Source organism: Homo sapiens, chromosome 14 (genome assembly GCF_000001405.40).
Source record: "Homo sapiens chromosome 14, GRCh38.p14 Primary Assembly".
NCBI lineage: Eukaryota > Metazoa > Chordata > Mammalia > Primates > Hominidae > Homo > Homo sapiens.
Genome location: NC_000014.9, coordinates 75,415,972 through 75,428,747, shown reverse-complemented (window position 1 = coordinate 75,428,747; position 12,776 = coordinate 75,415,972). Strand labels below are relative to the sequence as shown.

General features: G+C 47.2%; 1 protein-coding gene and 1 long non-coding RNA gene across 7 annotated transcripts in view, besides 9 other annotated features; one reads left to right on the top strand and one right to left on the bottom strand.

Moving 5' to 3' along the window:
* The window catches only part of JDP2 (Jun dimerization protein 2), a 47,165-nt gene extending 45,360 nt beyond the window's left edge, over positions 1-1,805 (bottom strand). For 3 of the 6 annotated variants that reach the window (XM_047430942.1, XM_047430944.1, NM_001135048.2), the window contains exon 1: positions 496-726. The gene's annotated coding sequence lies outside the window, so the exon portion shown is untranslated. Of the gene's footprint in view, positions 1-141; positions 392-495; positions 727-898; positions 1,025-1,746 lie in introns of those variants that run through there. The other 3 variants (XM_017020973.2, NM_001135047.2, NM_130469.3) reach the window with 3 other exon arrangements.
* Positions 78-247: a silencer, noted in NCBI's record as "silent region_5947". NCBI's record gives its function as "represses an Ori minimal core promoter by ATAC-STARR-seq in GM12878 lymphoblastoid cells {active_cell/tissue: GM12878}" and the evidence as "EXISTENCE:reporter gene assay evidence [ECO:0000049][PMID:35858748]".
* Positions 308-487: a silencer, noted in NCBI's record as "silent region_5946". NCBI's record gives its function as "represses an Ori minimal core promoter by ATAC-STARR-seq in GM12878 lymphoblastoid cells {active_cell/tissue: GM12878}" and the evidence as "EXISTENCE:reporter gene assay evidence [ECO:0000049][PMID:35858748]".
* Positions 673-1,230: an enhancer, noted in NCBI's record as "H3K27ac hESC enhancer chr14:75894221-75894778 (GRCh37/hg19 assembly coordinates)". NCBI's record gives its function as "activates a minimal SCP1, AML or CMV promoter by ChIP-STARR-seq in primed H9 embryonic stem cells {active_cell/tissue: H9 hESC(primed)}" and the evidence as "EXISTENCE:reporter gene assay evidence [ECO:0000049][PMID:30033119]".
* Positions 673-1,257: a biological region, named in NCBI's record as "H3K27ac hESC enhancer GRCh37_chr14:75894221-75894778".
* Positions 738-1,007: a silencer, noted in NCBI's record as "silent region_5945". NCBI's record gives its function as "represses an Ori minimal core promoter by ATAC-STARR-seq in GM12878 lymphoblastoid cells {active_cell/tissue: GM12878}" and the evidence as "EXISTENCE:reporter gene assay evidence [ECO:0000049][PMID:35858748]".
* On the top strand, positions 1,093-5,081 carry JDP2-AS1 (JDP2 antisense RNA 1). The gene is made up of 2 exons (NR_184172.1): positions 1,093-1,278; positions 2,037-5,081. It is a non-coding gene; the product is annotated as a JDP2 antisense RNA 1 (long non-coding RNA).
* Positions 1,198-1,257: an enhancer, noted in NCBI's record as "active region_8747". NCBI's record gives its function as "activates an Ori minimal core promoter by ATAC-STARR-seq in GM12878 lymphoblastoid cells {active_cell/tissue: GM12878}" and the evidence as "EXISTENCE:reporter gene assay evidence [ECO:0000049][PMID:35858748]".
* Positions 1,278-1,607: an enhancer, noted in NCBI's record as "active region_8746". NCBI's record gives its function as "activates an Ori minimal core promoter by ATAC-STARR-seq in GM12878 lymphoblastoid cells {active_cell/tissue: GM12878}" and the evidence as "EXISTENCE:reporter gene assay evidence [ECO:0000049][PMID:35858748]".
* Positions 1,858-1,957: an enhancer, noted in NCBI's record as "active region_8745". NCBI's record gives its function as "activates an Ori minimal core promoter by ATAC-STARR-seq in GM12878 lymphoblastoid cells {active_cell/tissue: GM12878}" and the evidence as "EXISTENCE:reporter gene assay evidence [ECO:0000049][PMID:35858748]".
* Positions 9,492-9,541: an enhancer, noted in NCBI's record as "active region_8744". NCBI's record gives its function as "activates an Ori minimal core promoter by ATAC-STARR-seq in GM12878 lymphoblastoid cells {active_cell/tissue: GM12878}" and the evidence as "EXISTENCE:reporter gene assay evidence [ECO:0000049][PMID:35858748]".

The window sequence follows — 12,776 nt, the reverse complement described above, 5'->3', positions numbered from 1 at the left end:
AGTCGCGCTTCCTCACTGCCAGGAGGTCCTTGTCATCCCTCCACAATCTAACCCCGACCCCAACCCCGCACCTCCCTGGCCCTTCACCCTCCACCTCCACCCGCACAGCCCATCTCCGCGGGCACTTTTCTCCCCACTCACCCCGCCTTCCCCGCCGCCCGAGGAGAGCACCTCCCTGCAAACGGACGGGGGAGGAGAGCGCGGGAGGGAGAAGGAGGGAGCACCCCGGCTGTCCAGGGAGCGGACGGAGCCTCCCGTCCCGGGGCGGGAACCAAAAGGAAGCCTCAGGCTGCCGGGCGCCTCGCGGGAGGGGCCCGGCTGCAGCGCCCGGCGCGGGGAAAGCTCGAGGTCCCTGGGCTGCGGGAGCCTCCCCGCGGGGCTGGGCTGGGGCTCCTCGCGCTCCGCCCGTGCGGGGGCGGCCGTCCCAGGTGCCCGCGCCGCGCCCTGCCCCGCCCCGCCCGTCCCGGCGCCCCCAGCGCGCGCCCTCGCACCCACCGTGCAGAAGGTGCGGGGGGAGGCGGCGCCCCCGGGGCCGGGGCCCGGCTGCAGGCGCCGTGCCCGCTCCGCGCCGCTGCCGCCCGGCCGCGGAGCTCCGCCCGGTGCCCAGGCCTGTCCCGGCCCGGGAGCCGCCGCGGCGCCAGCCCCGCCGCCGCTGCAGCGTCCGCCGCCGCCAGCGCCCCCCGTCGCGGCCGCCGAGCGTCCCTCCCGCAGGCTGTGGCGGGCGGCGGGACGGGTTGCATCAGCCCCGGCTATATAGCGGCCCCTGGGCGGCGGGGAGGGGTCGGGAATGCGGAACCGGCCGAGCTGCCAGCTCCAGACGTCAGAGGGGGACGGAGAGGAAGGGAAGGAGGGGACCGGGGAGGAGGGGGTGTGGAGCCGGCGCTTCACACCCACTGACCTTAACCTCCCCCGCCGCCTTGGGCGCCCTCCTCCCGCGGCCGCTCGCGCTCCTCTCCCCGCGGGGGCGTCCCGGGTTCCATGCAGTCCCCCGGCTCCGCCACCCCACGGTGCAGGAGCGCTCGAGAAAGCAGGACGCGGCGAGCGGTTATGTAAGCGCACCCCCCGCGCACCGCCGCCCGGCTTGTGCCCGCCAGGCAGCAGCAGCCGCAGCCCTAGGAGAGAGACGCGAGAGGCCGGAGCCGGGGGAAAAGTCAAAAGCCCCTTCACGCACAGCCTGTGTTAACCATGTACCTCAGTCCCGGCGCTTCCCCCACAAACTGAGAGCGACAGGGAGAATTTCCGCACAGTTTCATCCTTGGACACTTCAGGACTGAGCGGGTGAGGAGGCGATCTCGCCAGCCTGCTTTATTTTTCGGTGGAGAAGGATGGGCTGAGATGAAGGCATTTGGGGACTCCTACCCCTACCCACCGGCCCCCGCCAGCGCCCTTAGGCCCCGAGACGGCTGGCTGCACCAGCCTGACCTCTGCTAGGGCTGCAGCCTGAGACCGCGGCTTGCTCTACTGCTGGCGCAGTTTGACCCTTGGGCTTGTACCCTGCTCCAGCGGGCTTCTCCTTTCCACTCCGGACACAGCAGTGAGCAGACCCAGCCCTCAGCAGACCCCAAGTGGCCTTCTTCCCCGTTCCAGCTTCAATAGCCAACCCCACTCCCACCTTCCATCCTTCTAGAGAGGAAATGGTGAAGGGGACTCCAGAGGGAAGGCGACATCCATGGTGCCCTCCAGTATACAAAGGCAGAGACACAGAGCCCTCAGGTAGAACGGGGTTCCCTAGATGGCATCTCCTACCTCCAGAGCTCCTGGGTACCCATCGAGCCCCCTACCTTCTGCCTAAGCCAGATAGGAGTGACGATTTTTATACTCAGCGACTTTCGGCCTCCTTCTGAGAGTGATGTCAGGTCATCACCCATAGAAGAAAGGAAGTGAAAGAAAAAGTTCATGCCTTCTTGGAGTGCAGATGCTCAGAGTGAAAGAAACAACAAGACTTGAGACAGATGGGTGCCATTGAGCAAACCCGAACATGCATGTCTCTCTCATGTGAGTGAGTGCATGAGACTTTATTCTCCTTATTTCCCCAGTGCAGTGAAATCTTTCTGGATAAAAGAAGTGGGCTAATGGAAGGAGAGACAGACCAAGTCCCAATGACATTGCCTGACCATTTTCACCTTCGCCATCAGCAGTCTCCCTCACAGCATTGGTGTGGGCAGGTAAGAAGAAAGCAAGGCCCTGAAAGAATATACATTGGAAAATGAGCAGTAATTTGATACTCTTGTGGAAGAGCATGACTCTTCGCCCCAGAAAGGCCAATGACACCTTTACTACAGCGTAAAGATCAAAGCCAGGGACTGTGAAACTGCCTCATGATGTTTCTCCCATGAGACCTGTGTCTGGATGTTTATATGGAACAAAACATGGAACAGAGGCAATAGTACTTGATGTGTCTTCAGCTGGGGCTTTGGATAAACTAAACTGATCTATATTCAGGGACTAATAATTAGGGTGTGTGGTTAGAGCGCGTCCTCTCTAGGGCCTGTTTTGGACTGTGGCTGGGCCACCAGCAGTCCTACTGGGCCTTTGCTTCCCCCACAAATTAAATATGTTACAGGGGTGGCACCAAGGGGTGACTTGGGAGGCCTTTAGTCCCCTCTACCTCTCTATAATCTCCATTAGATCTTCTCTGTTATTTGCTATTGATGCTTTTCAGTTTCATATAGGACGCTATAAGAACACAGCTTCAAGGCCTCCCTTCCGCCACATACTCCCTACTAGGCCCCTCTACGTAGTCACTGCCTCTGGGAGTGGCTAGAGGGAGAAGCCATAAACTGGGTCCTTTATGCAGACATTGGATGCTGGATGGAGCTGATTTACCACTGGCTCTTAGGGACAGACAAGTGACTCAGCCTAAGGCAGTTTGAATTTAAGTTTCCTATCACAACTAGAAAAGTCCTGATTAACACGCCCAGCCCTAGTCAATGGGCTGATTGAGAGATCGTCACATATCCCAAGAAAATCTCACAAGACTGGGAATTTTGTGGATCTGCTGGAAAGAGAAGCTGCCAGAAGCCCCACGTGAAAGGGAACTACTGAGAGTGAAGCTAATGGGAGGAAAAGTAGAGCCAAGCCACGGAGGGAAAGACAGATCAAGTTCCAATGACATTGCCTGAGTTCCTGAATTCAGTCATGCCTGACATCATCCTGACCTCTGCAGGTTTTAGCTATAGGAATCAGTAAATTATGTCTTACCCAAGGCAGTTTGAATTTGGGTTTCCTATTACTTGCAATTAGAAAAGTCCTAATTAATACAGTGGGTTTTGCATCTCTGACTTATGTGGACTATTTCATTTTGAAGTTTAATGGAGATTGATGAATCCCGAGCTCTTTGTAAAGAGGGGAAAACTGAAATGGTGAGGTAAAATAATGAATTCCCCAGACCTGCTCCTCCAAAATCAAAGGAGAAAGTGATAGTTCTGAGTAATCAGCCAATCAATTAGTCTTTATCCTAGTATATACTGAAAACCTATTGTGCACCTTTAAGGTACACAAAGTTTAAGACATGATTTCTCACCTGTTCTATGTCCCATCTAATTAGGAAAAATGATTTACAAACTAATGAATAGCAAGACAAAGAGTAGCTAAGAGCTAATGATGCGACACAGGCTATAAGCACTGTAGGAGTTCAGACAGGATTGCTGCTCCAGTCTCTACTCAAATTGTATAGACCAAAATTGCAAACGCGTAGCTGGCAGGCTGAAAATCTGGCTTTTCTGGCTTCAACCTTAAATTTGTTTTTCTAAAAAAGACAGGCATGGTGGTGCTCACCTGTAGTCCCAGCTACTCAGGAGACTGAAGCAGAAGGATCATTTGAGCCCAGGAGTTCAAGTCTGGCCTAGGCAACATAGCAAGACCCCCATCTCAAAAAAATAATTGTAGAAAAAAATATTTTTTTAATATAGCAAAGATTTCATATAAAAAAATCTAGATTTCAAACTTCTCTTTTAAAAATATCAAAGTCAGGCAACATTGGGCATATGTAATAGTCAGGATAAGCTAGGTTTTGCTGCAGTAACAAATATCCCCCCAAACTCATTGGCTTAACAAAAGAAAGGCTACTTCCCACTCACACAAGACAACTGTGGATTGAGGTGATTCTCCAGGGCAGCTGTCTTATAGATGATGCCTCAGTATTTATACCTTCATATCAACAAGTGCATTTACAGCCACCATGGCAGAGAAAAAGAAGTAGAGAGGGCCGAACACTAGCAGTGAAATCTTTCCTCCTGAAGTGACATACATCACTTTAGCTTACGTTTCATTGGCCAAAGCAAGTCACATGGCCATCCTTAATTTCAAAGATGCAAGGAATCTCAGTCCTCCCATGGACCATGGAGGAGAAAGGAACCAGAAAATAGCAAACAATTAATATCTGCCACGGCACGCGCTTCCTTATGGCAACAATAGGCTGGAGCCCATTAGAAGCTGCCCCTTGAAATGGGACTTAAACACCCAGTTTGACAGTCTCCACCCAGCCTGCCTAGCCCTTGGGGGCATTTGATTTTGCAAGTCCTGGTAAAGATAAAGCCAATCTCAATATCAGTCTTTCAGATGTCCCTGGTGATCCGTGGAGTTATCACACAGTTTTCAAAAACAAATGTTTTGCTCTGCTTGAGACAAAAACTTATGACATGCAGAATTCTTACAATGAAAAGCAGGATGGTATCATGAAATCAAACATGAAGTTGAAACTAGCTGTTATTGTAGTCTGCAAATTACATAAACCTGTTTATGGTGATTTCTTCCTGTTGCTCTTCCCTCCATCAATCAAACACCCACCAGGAGAAACAAGCCTCCCAAGCTCTTCCCTGGAGTGGTAGTGACTTGGGAAGGGGGGCGGGGGGATGTCTAATTTAACATTTTGAAGCATTTATATATATATATGAATATACATATATATAGATGTGTGTGTCTATATAAATATTCAAGGCTAAAATATTTGAGAAGAAAACTTGTGAGCTAGGAATGGGAAGGCTTCTCTTCCAATGACCACCAATGAGAATGTTATAAAATATGTCTAAAGGTTTAAGAATAAATCAGCATCCATACAAATGCAGCCATCTCTTGGAAAAGCCTAGTGTCTTCTCTTTAATCTCCTAACACAATAAAGTTTTTGGAGGATGAAGAAATGGTAACTTCTCTGGTTAAAATGCTGGAGCAGGCTGAGTGTGGTGGCTCACACTTGTATCTAGCACTTTAGCTGGCCAAGGTAGGAAGCCAGCCTAGGAAACATAGCAACACCCTGTCTCTACAAAAACAAAAACAAAACAAAACAAAACTTATTAAAAACAAAAAACAAAAAAATGGGGCATGGTGACATGTGCCCATAGTCCAGCTATTTGGGAAGGTGAGGCAGGAGGATGGCTTGAGCCCAGGAGTCTGAAGGTCTGAAGTTACAGTGAGCTGTGACCACTCCACAGCACTCCAACCTAGGTGACAGAGTGAGACCACCCTGTCTCAAAAAAAAAAAAAAAAAAAAAAAAGACCAGGTATGGTGGCTTATACCTGTAACCCTAGCACTTTGGGAGGCTGAGGCAGGAGGATTGTTTGAGCTCAGGAGTTCAAGAGCAACCCGGGCAATACAGTGAGATCCCATCTCTATTAAAAAAAATGCTGGGGCAGGTGGATTTAGGGAGAGGAGGAGTATAGTTGATATATGTTGTTCTCAGCATTCCTTTCTTTGGAGAACCACTTCTCTCCCTCTTCCCTGTGGCCCTGGAGGGGCGTCATTGCCCCCATCCAGATGTGAGGGGTGCAACCTGAATTGGCCAATTACAGTAGTCCATATCCAAAGCCATAGTGATTGGTTCAGGGATGAGCACATGACTCAAACAGGGCCAATTAGAGTGTTCCTTGAGATTTGACATCTAAATACCAAGGAAGAGAGGGGTTCCTTTCCTTTAAAATACCAGTGTATGAAGGTAGTTTGTGGCTGTGGATGGCCATTTTTTCTGTCATGTGACAAAAGCCTACCTGAGAAAGAAACCAACACAGAGAGTAAAAGAGAGCCAAGACATGGAAAAAGAGAAATAGGCATGAGATTATCATTTGAGTTCCTGAATCTCTAATATGCCATGAAAACATGCTGAATTGGTCTTAGAACTTCACAGTATTGGAGTTAATATAGCGCCTTTCTCTTTCTTGCTAAGGTGGTTTGAGTCAGGTTTTCTGACAATGGTCAATAAAAGAATGCTGAAGAATACGTGAATAAAATGACCCAAAGTCAAGCTTATAAAGGAGTGCTCAACTGACACCATGGAATTTTATCGGTTTGCTATTCTTGCCTCATCTATCACATGCCACTCAACCTCTGCGAGACTAAATACAGAACTGTACTGAGTGCCTTCTCACCGCTCAGGATTCAGTTAGTCATTTAAATGACTTAGTCAGACAATCTTGTTTGAAGTTTGCTATGAGCCATGCACCACGTGCCACCCTATTTGAGGAGGCCAAGCAAAAACGAAGAGATCATCCCTGCCCATAAAGGATGACAGACTAGAGGCCCAAGAAGATGAATAATATTCATAAAAAATGGGGAAATGAGGACACGAGTGATTTAGGGAAAACCCGATGCATATGCATTCTGCTTCCAGAATATTATGTTTTAAAATGTGTCCTGAAAACACATGGAGAGAGGATAAAAGGCCCAGGTTGAGGATGTCATTGTGTAGGTCATCCATATATAGGGGGTTCCTGAAGTTGACACCAGGATCGTAAATCCTGATCAAACTTTTTTAGATGAAAGATGATGTTTTAGTCATATTAAATTTTAAATCATAGGTGATTAACAAATAAATCTTGGGTTAATAAATGAATGAATGAGTGAGGCCAGGCACAGTGGGTCATGCCTGTAATCCCAGCACTTCAAGAGGCCACGGTAGGAGAATCGCTTGAGGCCAGGAAATTGAGGTATGCCTGGGCAAGATAGCAAGATTCCATTTCTACGAAAATAAAATAGCCCATCGTGGCTGGGAGCGGTGGCTCACGCCTATAATCCCAACACGTTGGGAGGCCTAGGCAGGTGGATCACCTGAAGTCAGGAGTTTGAGACTAGCCTGGCCAACATGGTGAAACCCTGGCTCTACCAAAAAATACAAAAATTAGCTGGGCATTGTGCCACGCACCTGTAATCCCAGCTTCTGGGAAGGCTGAGGTGGGTGAATCACTTGAACCCAGGAGGCGGAGGTTGCAGTGAACCAAGATTTTATCACTGCACTGCAGACTGGATGACAGAGTGAGACCCTGTCTCAAAAAACAAAAACAAAAACAAGCCAGGTGTGGTGGCACACACCTGTAGTTGCAGCGACTTGGGAAGCTGAGACAGGAGGTTCATCTGAACCCAGGAGTTTGAGGCTGCAGGGAGCTATGATTGCACCACTGCACTCCAGCCTGGTCTACAGAGCAAGACCCTATGCTTTAAATAAATAAGTAAATAAATATATAAATAAATAAACAGAAGCTAGTCTAGAACTCAGTCTTAGGAGATAAAGGAGTTAGGAGACAAAAGGTGTCCTAGAAGATCAAAGAAAGAAAGGCACAATCACAAAATCGCAAGTCTCCTCAAATCCCTTCTCCTTTAACACAGGCTTCCCAACTATCATGAAGGTCAAACCAGGTTGTCAGAGATAAGATCTGAGATGAGTTTGTGGTATTTGCTCAGATCTGAAAGAGTACATTATAGCTATAAAAATGTACAGTCTAGAGAGGCCTCAAGTTATTTTTAAGAGAGGGTTTAATCTGAAAATACATGCATTAGATATTATACTACAAAGATGTTTTCACTTTGCACTCACACAATGCTGCTTCTAGGAAAACCGAAGACCCTTCTCCACTTTTTTCTTTCTTCTTCATCCCCGTCTCCCACTCCCAGAAGATGTTGCTATATAGGTTGGTTAGATTCTTCCATAAAATGTTTGGGGCTGGGTGTGGTGGCTCACACCTGTAATCCCAGCACTTTTGGAGGCTGGGGTGGATGGATCACCTGAGGTCGGGAATTTGAGGCCAGCCTGATCAACATGGTGAAACCCCATCTCTACTAAAAATACCAAAAATATTAGCCAGACATGGTGGCAGGTGCCTGTAATCTCAGCTACTCGGGAGGCTGAGGCAGGAGAATAGCTTGAACCCAGGAGGCGAAGGTTGCAGTGGGATGAGATCACGCCATTGCACTCCAGCCTGGGCCACAAGAGCGAAACTCCATCTCAAAAAAAATAAAAAAGAGTTTGGGCCTCAGTTTCCTCAACAGTTAAATGTGGACAATAATGGTGCCTACATTAGAGGGTTTATGTGAAGATTAAATACGATCTTATGAAGCACCATATCAATACCTGCCACAAGCCCAATACATTTGGCTGTGTTCGTCACCACCACCACCATCACCATCATAACCATCAACATTATGGTTCAGTCAGCTCAAGTCCCCTACTTTGTCACCTTCTCAGATGGGTCAAACCCACAGGGATTTCTCCCTCTTCTGACCTTAACTAGCATTTCCCTTCTAACATCTAATCATATGCCATTTAAAATTTTTCTCCTTATTTCACATATGCATTATCATTCCAACATGCTTGAAGTTATCAGTAGGGACAGTATCTTAAAATTTTTAAACTCCTATAGCACCTACCATGTGCTGAGCTTATGTTTGGCACTCAATGTGCCAAATATATGATTGCATTTATTTAAATAAAAATGGAAGGAAATCATTTCTTTTGTGTCCCTGATAATGTTGAAAGCAGTCTGGGCTCTTGGCACTTAAAGAATACTTGTTGAACAGATGCTTGTTGAGCAGAGATGTAATTATCAGTCACACCTTATGCAGCACAAACTTGTAGAATATTAAAGCAAGGAAGAGGCCATATTTTACAGATGAGGAAATTGAGGTCCCCACTGATGACACAGATCTCATTGAACAAAAGTTATGGTGGAAATAATTCTCAGGACTCTTTTTCTGCTATGCATTTTAAAACAACCACCAATAAAAAGTTATTTCAGCAAATGTTTATTGAAGGGGAAAAAAAGTCCCTTTAGGTTTTCTGCGGGAGGTAGCGTTTCCTCTTACACTCAACAATTTGGTGGTGTGGTAGAGAGAGGTGTAGGGAGGAGCCAAGGAGGCCCCTATGACTGGGCTGTTGTGTGGGCCTAGGCGGGGGAGGGGTGGGATTTTCACTTCTTGGAAGGCTCTTCCAGCTCCAGGCAATCCGGGCCAGGTTTTGACACCTGCATGTCTCAGCACCCTGCCCTAAGTCAGCCAAAGTGTACCTTCTAGAGAGCCGCCCTCCCCGCTGAGTCCCTGGGCTCCTGGAAACTCACCCCCTGAGACCAGAATAGGTCCCCATAGACCAGAAAAGGCCCCCACACTCGGAACTGGAGGAATTGGCTCTCCTTAAAAAACGAGGATATGATTTTGCAATTAGAATGCACTCCTGTAAGAGGAGACACCTCTGCGCTGGCCTCAGGGGTGAGCTGGAGGTGGGAGGTGGGCGCTGAGGGCGGTCAGAAGGCCTCTGGAGGGGACCTTGGGACAAGGGCTTCTTTGGTAGCCCTGGCCAGGTTCACAGGCTTCCTTTCAGGTTTTGTGCCCACGATTCCCCCACCCATCTCCTCCCGCCAGCGTTTCTCTATCTCTTAAATACACCTTCCTAATCCTCTCCTTCCTCCTTTTTAAAGCCAGCCTTTCCTTTCAAATACTTCCTCAAATGCCAGCTTGTTATGTTTGTGCCCTGCCGTGTACGAGAGTATATTTCAGACCACAGAGTTGGATTTTTATTCATTCCTTCATTCAGTCATTCATTCATTCATTCATTCAATAAATATTTGATTATTTCTATGTGCAGGGCTCACAGCATCATGAAATGATGAGAAAGACTGGCCCAGTCCTTAGGTGGATGAATAATTAGCTAATTAACTAAATAATTATAAGCATAAAAGGGAGTTTTGAGAGGTGTTAAGAGACAGGTAGAAAAACAATTGGATCATTGGAAACTTGAAAAGAAAAATTAAAAAATAATAGTTAAAAATAAATAAATAAAAACCATTGGAACCAGCCTTCCTCCCTTTGTCGGAAACTCTTAATCAAATCAGCTTGGTGCCCTGGGACTATCCCACTCCACTGGCACAGGAGCAGTTACCCTTTTAAAAGCTCTTCCTACATGGCCTGGCACAGTGGCTCACACCTGTAATTTCAGCACTTTGGGAAGTCAAGGTGGGAGGGTCATTTGAGGTCAGGAGTTGGAGACTAACCTAGGCAACATAGCAAGACTCTGTCTCCACAAAAAATAAACTTTAAAAAGTTAGGGGGCAAAAAAAGAATAAAAAGTCATCCTAAGTAACTTGTTTTGGGGCAAAGAAATTCCTTCTACCTTTCCTTCTTCCCACAGGTCAGAGTTTCAGAGCTAGAGGGGGTCTTTTCAGACTCCACTGCCCAGCCATAATTCTTCCAGACCCACTGGCCCTGTTGGTGTCTCAGATTGGCCATTTACACAGTTTTCGCATGTCTGGTCTTTTAAGATTAATGTATCATACAAGGCAGTAGGATACAGTGGCAAATAAAGAGTGTGGACTCTGGGACTAGACTGCCTCTGTGTGCATCCTGTCTCCGATGCTTACTAGCTGTGTGGCCTTGGGCAAGTTACTTAACCTCTACATGCTCAATTTCATCATCATTAAAATGGAGTGTGTATGATAATACCCAATCCATAGGAGTGTCATGAAGGTTTAATGAGTTCCTGCCCACTTGGAACAGTGCTTACCACATAGTAAGGGCTCAGGAAGGCAGCTCTTGGATGCTGTGGTTTGGCCCTCCCCCAGCAAGATGTCCAGCCATGGCTCCTAAAACTCAGCCTGGCTCAGAGTCTCAGGCTGCTGCTTGCCTAGGAGGAGAGGCTGAAACTTTTTTCAAGGGACAAGCTGCTGGCAGTAAGACTGCCTGGATGCTAAATAAACAAAGGCACTGAAAGATATGTTGTCTCTAACACCAGGCGCCTCCCCAACTGTCCATTGCTCAATGAGAAGGGAGCCCAGAGACCTAGTTTTAACCCATTTATGCCAGAAGTTGCAATTTTTTTGTGTGAAAAATTAGAACTTAGCAATGACTTTGAGCAGTAGAATATAAATAACTCCCATAAGCTTAGTGTTCCAGTAATGGAACACTAGGCATAAATGGGGTAAGCAGGGCTCTCACTTACACCTGACTTCTTCTGTGACTCTATAAACAAAGATCATTTCTATGCTTCAATTCCATTTTTTAATGGCAGAGAATAATATTTGTAGAATCATGGAGTTTGAATGAACATTGGTCTTAGACATTCCATATTACAACATCCTAATTTTCTTTCTTTTTTTTTTTCACCCTGTTGACCAGGACCCTTAATTTTCCATCTAGGAAACTGAGAGCCATAAAAGTCATATAACATAGGCAGCCTGGGGTGGTGGAAAGAGTGCTAGATTTAAATCCCAGGGCCACGGGTTCTTCTCTGAGATTCATTATCCCCTTTGGTAAAGGGGAGGGTAGTGATTCCTACCGTGTAGGGTCACCGTCAGGACTAAATAAGATCAAACATAGATGTGCCTAACCCCAGGGCTACTTGTGGTTGGGTAGGGACTGAATAAAGGCATTTCCCAATGTTGCTTGACTGGTTGGTAATCCCTTCCTTACCTTTTTCACAAGGTTTCCAAAAGAATAAGGCAAAGCAAAGAAGAAAGACTTCTTTGAGGTCCATGTGTAAAAACTTAGTTTCTGGTTCTTGGAGGTTTCTCTTTTGGGACTAGGCCTCTCCAAGAAGAAAGGGCTACCATTTTCAGTGGAAAGTGAGATGACACCACTAGACCTTCTGTCAGAAGAAGTCTTTGGAGTTGCCTTTTGGGGACATCCATTCCTTGGGTTTGTTGTTGTTGTTGTTTGAGACAGGATCTCACTCTATTGCCCAGGCTGGAGTGAAGTAGCGTGATCTTGGCTCACAGCAACCTCCGCCTCCCAGGTTCAAGGGATTCTCCCACCTCAGCCTCCCAAGTAGCTGGAGCTACAGGCACGCGCCACCATGCCCAGCTGATTTTTGTACTTCTTGGTAGAGATGGGTTTCACCATGTTGGCCAGGCTGGTCTTGAACACCTGACCTCAGATGATCCGCCTGCCTCGGCCTCCAAAAGTGTTGGGATTACAAGCGTGAGCTGCCATGCCTGGCCACTCCTTGGGTTTTTACAGGTTGTGGCCAAATGAATCTTAGTTCAAGTATGACTTCTTGGTCTTTTGGGTCAAGGTCGACTGTAATACCTGCTCTTAATTATATTAATACCTGGTTCTTTATCTGAAAACAGCATATCTCAATTTAGGTTCTTGGGGCCTAGAAAGTATGTGTGCTTTAAAAGGAAACCCTAAATCACCCATGCAAACTACTTGTATTGATATGCATATGTATAAATCCCAAGCACAATTACGGCATTAGAGCTATTTGGGAAAATGTTCCATCAATATTAGATGCATTTAAAGTAAGCAACAGAACATCAGAGTTCATCGAGGGTTCTCAACTAATATCTCAGAGGCAGTGGTGCCCCTGGGAAGGTGATTCCCTGATGATATGATCCCCTGAAGACTGAACACCCATCTTGGCCTAGTCTAGGACTGAGCTTTCTTCCCCACAGGGACATCAGAAGCAGCACAATGCTTGACTACTTAAGAGAAGAAGGGGAATTGGGGTCTCTACCAAGGCACTCAATCAAATAAGACATGGGTATATCACTGTTTTTCCTGCCTAGTCTGTTGTCATGGGCCC